The 15,819-nt window shown below is 39.6% G+C and overlaps 1 protein-coding gene and 1 long non-coding RNA gene across 4 annotated transcripts in view; one reads left to right on the forward strand and one right to left on the reverse strand.

The window, feature by feature from the left end:
* Nucleotides 1-2,389, reverse strand: part of STEAP4 (STEAP4 metalloreductase) — a 36,003-nt gene extending 33,614 nt beyond the window's left edge. For all 3 annotated transcript variants that reach the window (NM_001205316.2, NM_024636.4, NM_001205315.2), the window contains exon 1: nucleotides 2,287-2,389. The gene's annotated coding sequence lies outside the window, so the exon portion shown is untranslated. The remainder of the gene's footprint in view (nucleotides 1-2,286) is intronic.
* LOC124901692 (uncharacterized) overlaps nucleotides 1-15,819 on the forward strand; it is a 41,815-nt gene that overhangs the window by 13,019 nt on the left and 12,977 nt on the right. The gene's annotated exons all lie outside the window — the stretch shown is intronic.

Consider the following 15,819-nt stretch of genomic DNA (forward strand, 5'->3'; position numbering starts at 1 on the left):
AGAATTATTGGTAGATGTAGCTGCAGGCACTAGCAAATTACCTTCTCAGAGGACAACCCAGAAAAAACTAGCTACAAAGTGCCCTAGCAAAGTGCCCAATCTTCAGGTTTTGAAGGACTACTGTGTTGCTGCTGTTGTGTGTGTGTGTGTGTGTGTGTGTGTTTGCTAGCAACTTATCAGATTTCCTAAGATTTTCCAAAAAAAAAATGATTTTTAAGTAGCATTTGATAAACACGTCTAAATTAATTATGAAGAGAACTAGGTGGTAAGGATCCTAAAACAGTGGAATGTGTTCCTGAGAGTGACAACAGAATCAGCTACCCAGCCTTTAAAAGGAGAATTTATATCCTTTTAATAACAGTATTAATAATAGTAGGGTGATTCAGGGGAAGTCCTTCAAGAGACAAAGTAATGCAGAGTGACCACTCCAAGTTTCTTTGAATATAAAATTCCATAACAAATGACCTTATTTTTCTTAAAATTGTTCACACATAGTGCAAGGCCTGGGGTTTTTAATTTATTAACAATCTTAAAAAGTCTGTTTAGTTCCTTCTAAACAACAGTTAGCGAGCTTTAGTAAGGCAGAAGTCTGGAAATTGTTCTTCAGCTAGGGGCCAGGCCTTGTACACCTGGTTTCTGAACAATGTGAACTTCAACAATGTGAACAACGTGAACCTCAGTGGAACTGTAAACGTTACCAAATAGAAAAACTGCTATGACCCAATTTCTCTGTACACATGTACCATTTACTTTACAGCCTTGGAGCCTGATAAATAGGAAGTGTCTCATCCTGTTTTCTGGGTTGGCAGTGTTTGCCATGCAGGTAGAATACATGCAGGTCAAATCTCATATTGTGCTAAATCACAGCATTCTGAAAAACTTGGGACCTTGCAAAAGGCCATATCTCAGAAAAGTTACTGCTTCAAATAAATGTGCCATTTTACAAAATTATACCTACTGTATCAGAAAAAAAAAATGTTCTCTCATGTGAGTGACATTTATATGACTGCCATTTGTAGGGAATAGGACATTCTCACATAGCAAGGCTGAAGAATGGTTTTGAAAGCTGAGAGTATTCTCTGAATGATAAATGTGGCAGAACTTTAAGATGCTCCTGTGGGAAGAGACTCTTCCCCCGACAACTGGAGAGTTTCCTTATAAAAATGGAACATGCATTATTATGAAAAAAGTAACCACTGAATTATAGTTGTAGCATTAAGGAGATTTTCTATGTATTTCAAACTTGCAGGCATCTTTAGTCACGGCTTTTCACCTTGTTAGAGTTGAACTTTCTGGATCATCTGGCCCAGTAGCCAGCCTTTTATTTTACATCTGTGGAAACTGAGGCTGAGATAATGAGGTTCTAGTTATTATAGAACTAGGAATAGTATTCTTCCTCCCCTCCCCCATTCTCTATCCAATTCACTTTCTCAGCTCACTGCAACCTCCACCTCCCAGGTTCAAGTGATTTTCCTGTCTCAGCCTCCTGTGTAGCTGGGATTACAGGCACCTGCCACCACGCCTGGCTAATTTTTGTATTTTTAGTAGAGACTGGGTTGCACTATGTTGGCCAGGCTGGTCTCGAACTCCTGACCTCAAGTGATCCATCGGCCTTGGCCTCCCAAAGTGTTGGGATAACAGGCTTGAGCCACCGTACCCAGCCTCAGTACACCAATCTTTTAAAGAAAGTTCCTAAATTACCATCTAGAGGTGGGAAAAAGAATAATAAAATTCTGTCTCTGGACAAACAAACGGAACTGAGGCTTTATTTACTCTTCACAATAAATTATATTCTGAACAATCTTCCTCCAGAAAAATAACCTTTAAATTGCAAGAGGAAATTTAAATCAAGATAAAAAAATGGAAGTGGTTGCAGGTATCAGGACAAATTTTTAGTGCCTGGTCAAGAAGCAGCCTCGGATCTGAGACCTTGGAGACTGACTGCTAAAGCCACATTCTTCCAGCCTACTTTTTGATGGGCGCCCCAAGAGTGCGCCAATCCAGAAGTAAGATGCAGAGAAGAATCTAACCCCTTAATTTTCCCCCTTTGGGCTTGTCTGCACCCTGGGGTAGGGATGAGCCTTAAACTCCAGGAAGTTAGAAGCTTGCTGAATCGCGGAGCAGCCTCAGGTGACTTTCCTCTAAAGTGATGCCGGGGCGCGGCGGGGAGTTTGCAAGCACCTGTTCTTCAGTGCGATGGGCTGGGGAGTGGGGTCCTAGCAGCAGGGACTGGAGGTGAGCTGAAGCAGATAAGGGACGGGAGCCTTGTGGCGAAAAGTGACCCACCTGAGGGAGAGGCGCTTCCAAGGAGGAAGCGTCCAGCGCCAACGGTGCGCGCCGCGGGCCGGGCGGGTAGAGGGAAGTTTCGCCGCGCCTGCAGCTCAGCGCTGTGGCTTGTGGCTCTCGCTGCTATAAGAAGCCAGAGAAGGGCGGGACGGTCTGCTGGATTTCGCAAGAGAAGCGGAAAAGAACTTGTTTCCTGGAAGAGTTCAAGCTGAGAATCCCAGCAGCTGGAAGGACCGGAACTTCTATACTGCGGTGCTGCTGATGGTGCCGCTGACCCCCGGGAAGCGGGGATTTTAAGGGTTACACCCGAGCCCTTGGCATCTGTGCATCCCAGGGTGATTGAGGTTTGGAGAGGTCTAGGAATCCCCCTTTCCTAAAGGAGCAAGAAGGATCTCTTTGAGTAGCTGAGAAAACAGCACCTGGACTAGGCTTCTAGGCAATTCTTTTGCCATCTTGTCTCAGTTTATAGAAAAGGTGGTATCTTTCCCCTCCGCCTGGAAGCCATGGGTTCTTATGGGGCTCATAACTTGGAAGATCTTGAGTTTTCAGGTCTTAATTTAGGTAGATTAAAGAAATAAAACAAATGAAAGAGGGATCGGGATACCTTATGATATACATGCAAATGTGTCTTTCTACAGAGAAGGTCAAAAACCACAGCCCTGGTTGTTTAAGATTGAAATAATCCTGATAAACTATGGGGCAAAGCATCCATACACTCCCAAACTCTGTAATCTAAATCCCAGAGTCTTCCCAATGATCTCCACTCAGCCATGGGTCTTAAATTCCACAGCATACGCTTGCCAAGCTCCAGAGGCCCGGCCACATGGGAGGCCTGTTCCTCCCATGGAAAGGGGTTGTTGAGTCAACCTTCCCTTTGTCTGGATTGCAACTCTCCTCATAGCTTCTTGTGGGGTTGGTCAGACCCCATGTCTTTCAAGAGGTCTTTTCTTAGCCATTAGTTGCAATTAATATTTTCTTTCTCTATACAGTAGTTTATACTTTTAGCACAGCAATTAAGACAATTTGCCTTTCAAAAGAGTTATTATCATGTGTGTGTGTCTTGTCCTGGACTGCAGTCTTCGAGGGATGACACCCTAGTTTTTTCAGTCTGGAATTTTCCATAACACCTAGCAAAATGCATTACTTAACAATGGGGATTTATTCTGAGGAATGCCTCATTAAGCAATTTATTAAATATATTCTGAGGAATGTCTCATCAAGCAATTTCGTCATTGTGTGAACATCATAGAGTGCACTTACACAAACCTAGATGGTATCACCTACTACAGGCCTAGGCTAGATGGTATATAGCCGATTGCTCCTAGTCTACAAACCTGTTCAGTATGCTACTTTTCTGAATACTGTAGTCAGTTGTAACACAATGGTAAGTATTTGTGTATCTAAGCATAGAAAAGGTATAGTAAAAATGTGGTATAAAAGATAAAAAATGGTATACCTGTATGGAACACTTACCATGAATGGAGCTTACAGGACTGGAAGTTGCTCTGGGTGAGTAAGTGAGAGAGTGTGAAGGCCTAGGATATTACTATACACTACTGTAGACTTTATAAACACTACATTTAGGCTATGCTATTATAAGAAATATTTTTCTTCCTTCAATAGTAAATTACCCTTAGCTTTCTGTAACATTTTTACTTTTTAAACTTCTAAGTTTTAAAAAACTTTTTGAGTTTTGTAATAACGCAGCTTAAAACACATATTGTACAGTGTGTACAAATAGTTTTTGTCTTTATATCCTTATTCGATAAGCTTTTGTCCCGTTTTTAAAAGTTTTAATTTTTTTGCTAAAAATGAAGACACAAACACACATATTAGCATAGACCTACACAGAATCAAGATATGTGATATCACTGTCTTCCACCTGTATGTCTTTTGTTACTGAAAGGTCCTCAGGGGCAGTAACATGCATGGAGCTGTCTTCTGTGGTAGCAATGCCTTTTTCTGGAATATCTGCTGAAAGACCTTCCTGAGGCTGTTTTACAGTTAACTTTTTAAAAAATACAAGTAGAAGGAGTACACTCAAAAATAATTTAAAAGGTACATATAATAAATACATAAGCCAGTAACATAGCTATTTATTATCATTATCAAGTATTATATACTGTACATAATTGTACATGCTATACTTCTATATGACTGGCAGCATAGTAGGTTTCTTTACACCAGCATCACCACAAATGTGAGTAATGTATTGCTCTGTGATGTTATGACAGCTACAGTGTCCCTAGGCAAGAGGAATTTTTCAGCTCCATTATAATTTTATGAGACCGTTATTATATATGCAGTGCATCATTGACCGAAACATTGTTAGGTGGTGCGTGAGTGTAATTGGTACTGAATATTTATTGCACTCATTAATTAATAAATCTACTGCCAATTATTATATTTTGCAAAAAATTCATCCGATAGTATTCTTTGGCCAGGGAAGAACTTAAAATATTCATTGATTTTATAGCATCTGATTTTCCCAGTTTGCAGACTAATAGGCAAGAGAGGGGTGTGCACCCATGGAAGAAGGTCCGCTGCGTGTCCCTAAGAGTCTTCATAGATGGTCAACACAGTTTTGGAGACTTGCCCTTTGTCTACCATTTGGTTTTAAGCCTTGATGGGCACAGAAACTTGATAAGCACACTGAGCCTGAAACAACCAAAATGGTGACTTGTTAGTTGTTAATGGAATATAAAGCAAATAGTTATTGTAAAAATACAGTTGCTAAGGGCACCAGACATTATGGCCATCACATTCTCTCCATGTAGACATATCCTGTGGAAGCTATTTTATATGCAGAAGGCTGCTGGATAAACAGACGAGTGAGTTATAAAATTCCAAGGTTTACTGACATCTGGTTAAGAGAGTAGCTATATCGATGCATGCCATTTAGAAGCAGAAGCTGGGGTCTATGGACCAGGTCACTCTGGTTTCTAGGTGGTGTTTGGATCCATTATGAGTTGACATAATGGACAACCATATTCTCGAATGCATCCTCTGAGTAATAACAGAATCATTGCTTTATAAACTTATTATTATTAGGTAGATAAAAAATTTTGAAATGTGATTTTTATGAGAGGCAGATATATTTCAGTTATGCAAGTTCTTTTCTTTGCCAAAGGCAACTGGAGTCCTAGAAAAGGAAGATTAAATTACTGGGATATGAAGGATGGAAAAAAAATGCCTTTATTAGTGCAAAACTTAAGAGGCATTTGACGTATTTATCTTGTGGTTTAAAGATTGATTTTCCCCTTGGGCCTAGGAGGGACACACAGTTCATAACTCTCCTAGTCTTTCCGTAAACCCTTGCCATAGGGGAAAATTAAGCTTCCCAAAGATGCCAGCAACCTGAGTACCCAAGGACTTCCTGTGGGCAGGATTCATCTTTCTTCCTGTAGTTTTATACTCAGAGCTCCAGATAAACCTTCCCAGATGTTGTGCACCACCAAATTGTTCTTATTTAGGGATTTCCACATTTACTGTGCCCCTGAGTCTTTCCTGCTACTTCCTCTCTCCTCATCCTACTATGTCAAAGGCCCCAAATGGTAGAATTTAGGCAAACTGATGAAGTAGGCCTAGAGCCAGTGTTCATTAAATGTTATTAAGTGATTGAAAAAAAGTTACCCTTAACATTTTGTATCTCCCTTTCAATGCCATTTTTCTCCTTTTCTGGGGCTCCCCTCTGCACTATCTTGTGTCTTGGGCATTTATCCCTCTTCCGCAAGTCCTCTCCTTACAGTGTTCCACACCTTCTTATTGGGGTGGGGTGGAGCTTTCAACACGTGCTGGACCAGGAGGTGACTGACTTGATAGTCTATAATTAGCATGTGTATGCGAATCTTTTATTGACTTAAAGATTTGCCCTCTAGCTGTTTTTGAAAAAAAAATTTTTTTTGAAGGACTCCTAGAGATGTCTCTGTCTAACCCCCAGAAATGAATCTCTATGGCAGGGATTTCAGGCGCTCTGGGAGATATATTTGAATATTGGTGTAAGGAATATTTTGTCTTTTGCTTACCTAGCATCCAGGACCAGGACTAAGTGAGGTGAATGAGGAGGCTAGGACACCAAATCTGTGGAGGTGCTCACTCAAAACCCAGTCTGCACGAACCTGAAAATAAATGACTTCTTAAATGTTTTTCCTTTGGTGCCTTCCTTGCCTGCTCTAGTCCTGGTCCTGCAGCATCCATTTCTCTTTGCTAATTATATCTTCATTTTCGTTTGATAAACGCCCTTGCACAATCTTGATCCACGTGGTTCAAGTTGAACCAATGGCACTGGGGTTCCAGGATCAGGCACCTGACTTAGACCTGGCCATTCAAAGCACAAAGCCTTGTCCACAGTGATTGGTCCAATGATGGCATGTGACCTGAGTTGGGCCAATAGGAATCTTTCCTGGAACAACCTGGGAAGCAGCACACTCTTTACAGAGGGTTGTCGGACTGCTAAAAAGCAAGCCTGGGTCACTGTGAGGAGAAAGTCAGCCTGAGAAAGAGGCCACTTCAGGGGAAAAGAGAGCAAAGAGATGAGAAGAGACAGATTTCTGCAATTGTTAGAGTGCCATATCTGAAGAAAGCTGTATACTCTGGGCTTTTTAGTGACATGAGTCAGTAATTGAATGTCTGTTATTTGTATAAAATGGGATTGGGTAGGATGAGAAAGGCACCTGCTCAGTCAGACTTCTGTGACTGTAATGCCTACTGAGGTGGCTTCATCACAACATGTGGTCAGAATGAGGAAGGCATGTGTTGTTAAAAAAAGCAAAACAAAGGCCTTTCTGAGTTTTCTTGTAGTAGCTTTGGGACTTGGATAAATAATCAATTTCTGTGACTGAAGTTTTTCAGCTACTTCCTGGTATATTCAGAAATCATTTTCCTGTCTCAGAAAACTTTTTTTCTACTTCTTTCCTATTTTAGTGGGGGTGGACAGATAGAATCCTTCTCCTCCTTTTTCCTGAAACTGCAAAGGGTATAGTGAAGAAGCCAGGCCATTGACCTGGTTTTAACCAATTTCTAGGACTCCTGCCAACACAGACCAGGAAGCAAAACCAAACAACATTTTACTGCCCACCTGCACCCAAAAAAAGTACTGATGGGAAAATACGTCAGACACTGACAGTATTGGAGTCTGGACTAGGGATAATGTCAGGAATGACAATAAAGAACTTAAAAATAAGACCTAAAGAACTTGACTTTAGGTTCAAGAGGAGGTTGAAGAGAAGAGTTGAGTATGTGGGATAAGTGAATAATAATATTTTAAAACATCACTGACAAAGCCTAGAAGTGACAGACAGTTGCAGCTACTTCTGGGAATTGAAAATAGGCAAGGAAACCCTTTCCTCTTTATCTGGGTCTCTGATTCCCTGGGTCACAAGGTCTGTGTTAATTTTGGAAGCTTCTAAGGCACTGGCAGGGCTATGGACTGACTATCACCAATAGGAATCTGGAGGCGGCCCAAGACCACATCTGCTGACCTCAGAAGAGGTCACTTAAATACGATGTTACCAAAGAACAAGATGTGCAAAATAATTTGAAGAGATGGAGAAATATTTGAGTTAATTTTTTGATAAATGCAGCTGGCATTAATAGAGATGTTCTTTCTGTAATTCAAAAACTGAAGATGTGTCATCTGCTTTCACCCCAGCCTGCTGGTACACGCCATGATATATGAAGCTGCTAGCAGAGCTATGAATCAATAGTTGATTGGTAGTTACTGTTAGTACTGGAAGTATTATTGGCAACAGCAATTCCAGTCCAGGCAATTTGTGCCTAGTGCCAGTAAAGGAAGGTTAGTTAGATTTTTCACATGCTAAAGAGGAGACAAAAATAAATTTAAAAATATTAGAGTGAATGAGGTCCTGTTCACTTTCAAATAGAGTTAGCAGGGAAAATAGTATAAAACCAATCACAGGAGGAAAAGCAAAAGAGAAGAATACTGAAAATATGAGGCTATTTTTTTTTCTCCATTTTCTAACTGTAAAGATCAATTACTTGCTAAAAGTTATTTTCTTTTTTGGGGTTTCTTTAAAGATAATTATATATATTATTTTTATACTGGTAGTATTAACTATAGATGATTCTGTAGTACCAAATACAGATGATTTATGTTCACAGAGTGTTTGCTAAACAATTTATTTAGTTACTGTAGATTGTTTTACATTATATAACACTTTAGTTTAAATAATTAACTAAAATATTTAAACAATTAATGCAAAATTCAAGATATAAATGGGGTATGTTGAAAAGCTGTTTTCTGCAGACATTGAGCTCCCTTGTCTGGAGGCAACCACGTTGATGATTTATTGGGCTCCTTTCATAGACAGACTATGCATATAAAAGCATATATATTTGTTCTTAAAAATTACAAATGGTGGCCAGGCAAGGTGGCTCATGTCTGTAATCCTAGCACTCTGGGAGGCCAAGGTGAGCCAATCGCTTTAGCCCAGGAGTTCGAGAAAAGCCTGGGCAACATGGTGAGACCCTGTCTCTACAAAAAACAAAAAAACTAGCCAGGTGTGATGGCACGTGCCTGTAGTCCCAGTTACTCAGGAGGATGAGGTGGGAGAATCACTTGAGTCTGGGAGGTCGAGGCTGCAGTGAGCCATATTCGTGCCACTGCACTCAAGCCTGGGTGACAGAGCAAGACCCTGTCTCAAAAACAACAACAGCAACAAAAATATAAGTGGAAGCCTACTAGTCACATTCTTCTACACCTTCCTTCTTTTCACTTAACACTGTAACTTAGAGATCATTTCCAATAGAGTGGTCAAGGCAGTCCTATATCAAACTGCACGCACCCATGCCCACCTCCTTCACTTGCTCCCCTTTACTCTGCTGTCTGTTATTTCCACGGCACTCATTACTTTCCGACATACTGTCCTTTATTTATTTATTACATTTAGTGTTTTTCTTTCCTCTGGAACTCATGAGCCATGAGCACAAAGATATTTTGGGGTAATTTTCGCCCTACTGTATATGTACCACGTACAATGGTGACCGGCACATAGGGTCTCAATAAATATGTTGAATGAGTGAATGAATGGTTTGAAGGGAAAATGATGGACTGGTAGAAATCTATAAAATAAGTATGCAGATATATAAGATCTTTGAAACCATTCATGTCAAAAATGTATTGGTGAGGTTAAACCAGTGCTTCCCTAGCTAAAGCAGAATGCTCAAGTAACTGCCTCTACTGATTGCCAGTTTGTGCTTAAATTTGCTCAGAAAAGGCCAGATGCCTCCAGCTACTTTATCTCTTGCTATTCCCAGGGTTCTGCTTTTTTTTCAGACTCCTTTTTAATCTATAACGTTTTCATTTAATTACTTCTTTCCCAACTCCATATCTCCTGTGTCTGTAATAGCATTCTGTAGAGTTCCTAAGCCCTTTTTTTTTGGAAAGGATCTCTGTAGTAAGATATTGCTTACTAGGTCCCAGGAGTCAGCTTTTATAAACAGTCTGTGGAAGAATGTGCAGCATTCATTATATAGAAGGAAGTGGAGACTTCCCTCTTCACATAACAGAACTGTACAGCAGCTGCCGAAAGAGTTTTGATGCCTCAGACCTGTCATCTTATTTTGCGTGTGTAATAATTACAGGAACGAGGATGTGGACATGTACTATCAATTAGTGTTAAGTAAAAAAAAAAATTTAACAGTAAAAAAAGGAAGTGAAGAAAAACAAAATAAATGGCTATTCTACCAGTCCTCTTTAGATAACTGCTTTGGTTGGGCTGTTGGCTATTTGGGAATAGTCTTAATTTGTGCTTTCTCGCATTTTGTATAGCAGTGATTATATCATAGATTTTACACATGAGAAAGGCCACACAGGAAAGAATCTTTAGAAGCAGGGGGAGGTAGGTTATAAATTTTTATTCAAATGTGAATTAATTAAAACCCCAAATCAGAACTATTTTAACATTGAAATTAAATCCTGGGCCACTCATAACTTTATGACTATTCCACAAGAAGATTGTTCATAAGCAAGAGAAGTATCTTAATTGAACACTAGAAATTTAAATACAGAAATTTGTCAAATCTTGTCAAAATCCATTGGCTAGAAATAAAGGATTATTATTGTCAGTGGTTGACTTCTGTCAGCCCTGGTACCCCCTTTTCCTCCTCAAAGAGTAAAGCTTCACTTGTCTAGAGGGAAGGAAGCCAAGGAAAGGACACGAGAAATCCAAACAGATTCAGTCAAGTTCATGGACTTCAATCTAGGTATGCCCTCAAGTATCTAACTAAGAAATGCGTTAGTGAATTCTAGGAAATCTAGTTTTCAGCCTCCTGTGCCTGAAAGGAACAGAGGAAAAAGACAGGTAAACTCTAAAAAGCAGACTCAAGGACTCCAAATACAATTGTCTAGGATAACTTACTGTATGAGCAAAACAATCAGGAAATACTGAGGAAATTACCATATATGTCATACCAGAATTAATTTTTATATTGATCACCCTTTATGACCAGAAAAAAACAAAATTGTTTAGTCTACATGAATAATATAAGAAATGGTGTAAAAATAATCTTAATAGCATTTCGATCTCAAATGATTGTAAAGTAATAAAAAATCTTATGTCAGTTTTTGATACTGATCTTTTCTATCCACCTTCCTTCTCACTTAGATGCTACTCATATGGTCACAGCATCCACCTTTTCCTTACTAACAGTCACCACATTTTCATTTCAAACGTCTCATTTTCTGATCATTCTCTCTTATCCATCCAGCTCACTTACGCTGCTTATCCCACTCTTGCAAGTTACCAACCTTATAAAGTCTTCTAATCCCCTGCCTTTGTTATTTATTTTTATATTCATCATATTCATCACATTCTCTATCTTTCACTTCCTTCTTACCAGCTGTGATTTCACATACTGTTATGACGATTTTCTTACAGATGTTTCTTGATTACCTTGGCCATCTCTTTGCCACTTCCTTGCCTGGCAAAATTTCAACACTAGTTATATTGAAGTGACTGCCTACTTTGCATCTTCACCCAAGCAGCTAAATGTTACTGGAGAAAATAAAATAATTGTTGCTAGGTTTAGTTATTTCAAAACCATGACCACAAATGTCAGGGCATATTACACTTAGTGGCATCCTACTATACCTGTGGAGCCATATTCCATTTCTAACTCTCTAGAATGATTTCTTAAACCTCTTCTAGTTCCTTTACTCACTCACTCACTCACTCACTCACTCACTCACTCACTCACTCACTCACAGGTTATGATCCCACCATAATCTAATTTTCCCACCTCTAGTTCTACCAGCTCACTATATTCATGCCCACATACTCTTCCAACTCTCATTGCTGTAAGGCTATTCCCTCCTGATGTGCTTTGGATTCCCACCCCATACCATCATAAAGAATTCACTCCTCCAGGCCAGATGCAGTGGCTCATGCTTGTGATCCTAGCACTTTGGGACACGGAGGTGGGTGGGTCACTTGAGGTTAGGATTTCTAGACCAGCCTGGCCAACATGGTGAAACCTTGTCTCCACTAAAAATACAAAAATTAGCCGGGCGTGGTGGCGTACACCTGTGATCCCAGCTACTTGGGAGGCTGAGGCAGTAGAATTGCTTGAACCTGGGAGGTGGAGGCTGCAGTGACTGGAGATTGTGCCACTGCTCCAGCCTGGGTGACAGAGAGAGACTCTGTCTAAACAACAACAACAACAACAACAATTCACTCCTCCAATTTCCCTCACTTTTTCAGTTGTCAGTTCATTCCTTTCCACTGGGCCATATCCAACATTGTGCCACAGTGACTTAATGCACCAACCTTGAACATTCTATCATAGGATGTTTGCCTGTTGCGGTTGCTATTGCTTCTGCTTGGAAAGCTCTTTGCTCAGATCTACTAGTGACTACCTCATTGTTCTGGTTTCAGCTAAACTTCCCTACTAGTGGCCTTTACTGATCTTCTTAGTTCAAAGTAGCTCTTTTCTCCACCACTTTTCAAGCAGGCCCTATATGTCACATTACACAATTTTATTTTTTTTCATATTATGAAAGATCTTATTTTTTATTGATGTGTTCATGTTTTGTTTTGTTTCATTTTTCACTTGAGTATAAGCTTCTTGATAGTAGGGACTGTCTCTTCTTTATTATTGTAGAACATGCCTGGCATACAATAATAGCTATTTAATAAATATTAATAGACTGATGGATTGACTATTTAAAGGTAGTAATGTCAATGATTTGGAAGATTTAGGCTGGGCATGGTGGCTCACACCTGTAATCCCAGCACTTTGGGAGGCTGAGGTGGGCTGATCACTTGAGGTCAGGAGTTCAAGACCAGCCTGGCCAACATGGTGAAACCCCGTCTCTACTAAAAATACAAAAATTAGCCCAGCATGGTGGTGGGCGCCTATAGTCCCAGCTGCTAGAGAGGCTGAGGCAGGAGAATTGCTTGAACCTGAGAGGCAGAGGTTGCAGTGAGCTGAGATCATGCCACTGCACTCCAGCCTGGGCAACAGAGTGAGACTCTGTCTAAAAAAAATAAAAAATAAAATAAAATAAAATAATTTGGAAGATTTTGTTCCCCAACAATGCTGAATAGAATATGTATTATTGTAATTATTGTATTTACTCCTTCATACAAACCTTTTTCTATAAGGGTAGTGAATAATTATAATACAACACTACTACTAATAAAAGTGCTTATGTAGAACTTCCTGTATGCCAGATGATCTTCTGAACACTTTATAAATATTAATTTATTTAAGCAACAGCCTTGTGAAGCAGGTATGATTATAAATGCAAAAAATATTGAGTCATGTTTATCTTACATGAATTCCTTCAGCAGCCTCTCATGTGTAAGTGGTACTTTCCACAAGAAGGAACAACTATTTATAGGAAGTATTAGGAAATCTGGGCACTACCATTGATTGCGGATTTACCAAGAACTGTGCTAGGCATTGTGGGAGCTACCTAAGAAGAATAAAACAGAATCCTTCCTAGAAAGACATAGTATTCTTCTATGTATAATAGTACATCTCAAAAGGACTATACATCTATAAAGCACTGCATAATATCACTAAATACAATGAACAGATAGATTGATAAAATATTTACACCTTTGCATGCATACTTCTGATTTTTAGATGACAATATGCTTTCTATTTTGAAGACATGGAAATATTTATGAAGTTGGATGTGTGGATAAAGGCCACACTATCATACATTGGCCCCTAGCTTTAAAAATCTTAAGATATGTGAAAAGTGTTGGATCAAAAAATGAATATCCATATTTGGGCATCATGTGGTCTGCCCTTTCTGAAGAATGTGACTGCCAGTATTAGTGGCTATTCCTAGTTCAGATGCCATTTTTTCCTTTGTGTTACATTAAATCTTTTCTCCAATTATTTTAGGTTAATTGTAAACATAAAAACATTCGTTTAGAAGAATTAGCTACATGCCAGTAGATGAACTATAAATTAGTTTAAACACAAAGAGTTAATTTAAGCATAAATATAGACAACATATTTTAAACCCTTCAGTAATATCTCCAGTATGGGTTGGGTGATACTTAGCCTATTTCACTAGAGAATTGGGAACACCCTTAGGCAGTTGTGACTAAGGGGACGTCTGTATTTATCTTGTTTTTATACCCTGTAGTGGCCCACACCCTTCGGTGCTAGTCTAGACCCATCTGATTTCAGAGGTAATTGCTGGGAACTCCTGGTTTGTGTCTATAATTTCTCAGAGTTAAACCCCTAAAATACTTTAACTTTCTGTCTTAGCTACAGATTATACCAACTCCATTTTTATTCTGTAGCTACACATGTTCCCTATGATTTTTGTACAGATCTACAAATGTCAGTGATTATGTGCAGTTTTTAAAAATAGTATTATCTACTAATAGTGTGGTCAATTGAGAAAAATAATGAGACAAGTCTTAATCATTTTAGGAGATTTATTTGCCAAAGTTAAGGACACGCCCGGGAGACAGGTCTATGCCTTTCTCCGAAGATGATTTTGTGGGCTTTAAATTTAAAGAGGTAAGGGAGGGATATTGGGAAGTACACAATTTTCTTTTTTCTTTTCTTTGAGATAGAGTCTTACTCCGTCTTACTCTGACGCCCAGCCTAGAGTGCAGTGGTGTGATCTTGGCTTACTGAAACCTCCACCTCCCAGGTTCAAGTGATTCTCATGCCTCAGCCTGCTAAGTAGCTGGGATGACAGATGTGCACCACCATGCCAGGCTAATTTTTGTATTTTTAGTAGAGTCAGGGTTTTGTCATGTTGGCCAGGCTGGTCTCTAACTCCTGGGCTCATATGATCTGCCCACCTTGGTCTCCTAAAGTACTGAGATTACAGGCATGAGCCACTGTGCCTAGCCAAGAAGTACACATTTTTTCATGTAGGAGATGAGTAGGGGGAAAATAGTCATTCATGGCTTTGTCTGGTTCCGTGAATCTGCATTTTTACATAAGATAACATAGATAGGACAGGGTTCAGGGAATCTGCATTTTTAAGTAAGATAACAAACAAAAATGGGGCAGGGGAACAATCAGATATGCATTTGTGCCAGGTGGGCAGAAGGGTAAATGCATCTGTAAAGATAAGCTATCAGTTTACATTGCCTTGGTGAATTTTAACAGAAATGCTTCAGGGTAAATATCTTGGAGCTCATTAGGAATTTCCTTGTGGGCAAAATATGAGGGAGGTGTGTAGTTTTTCATCTTGTAGCCATCTTATTTGGGAACCAAAAAGGGGAGGCAGTTTTGCATGACCCAGTTCCCAGCTTGACTTTTCCCTTTGGGTTAATGAGTTTGGGGTCCCAAGATTTATTTCCCTTTTACACTGGCTGTAAGAAAAATAAGTGCTTTGTGCTTTGTGTTGGATCATCTTTTAGTAAAGTTTCTGTAGCTAGAATATGTGGGAGTTTAGGAATCTTTGTTACAGTAGGTTAAATTGTGTCCCTCAAAAAGAAATGTCTAAGCACTAACCCCTGGTACCTGTGAATGTAACCTGATTTGGAAACAGGGTCTTTGCAGATGTTACTAGTTAAGGATCTTGAGATGAGATAATTCTGTATGTAAAGTGGCCCTAAATCCAATAAGTGGTGTCCTTATAAGAGAAAGGAGAGGGAAATTTGAGATACAGAGACATAGAGAAAAGGCCATGTAAAGACAGAGTCAGAGGTTAGATTTTTGTAGCCCTAAGGCAAAGAATATCAAGGGTTGCTGGCAGACACTGGAAGGTAGGAGTGGGGCATGGGAGAGATTGCTCCTCCAAGCTTCAGAGGGAACCAACCCTGCAGGCATCTTGATTTTGGACTTCTGGCCTCTAAAACTGTAAGAGAATAAATTTTTGTTGTTTTAAGCCACCAATTTTGTGGTAATTTGTTACAGTAGCTTTAGGAAGTGAATATACCTGGTTATAGGTGAGGAAATAACAAGTTCCGGCTTGAGTAATGCCATGAAGATGCTCTCCTGTTACTGACCATTGCATCCTTTATGGTTATTTTCTGTCATATATCATCAAATGTGTCAGGCCTCTGAGCCCAAGCTAAGCCATCATAT

This window comes from Homo sapiens, chromosome 7 (assembly GCF_000001405.40).
Source record: "Homo sapiens chromosome 7, GRCh38.p14 Primary Assembly".
Lineage (NCBI taxonomy): Eukaryota > Metazoa > Chordata > Mammalia > Primates > Hominidae > Homo > Homo sapiens.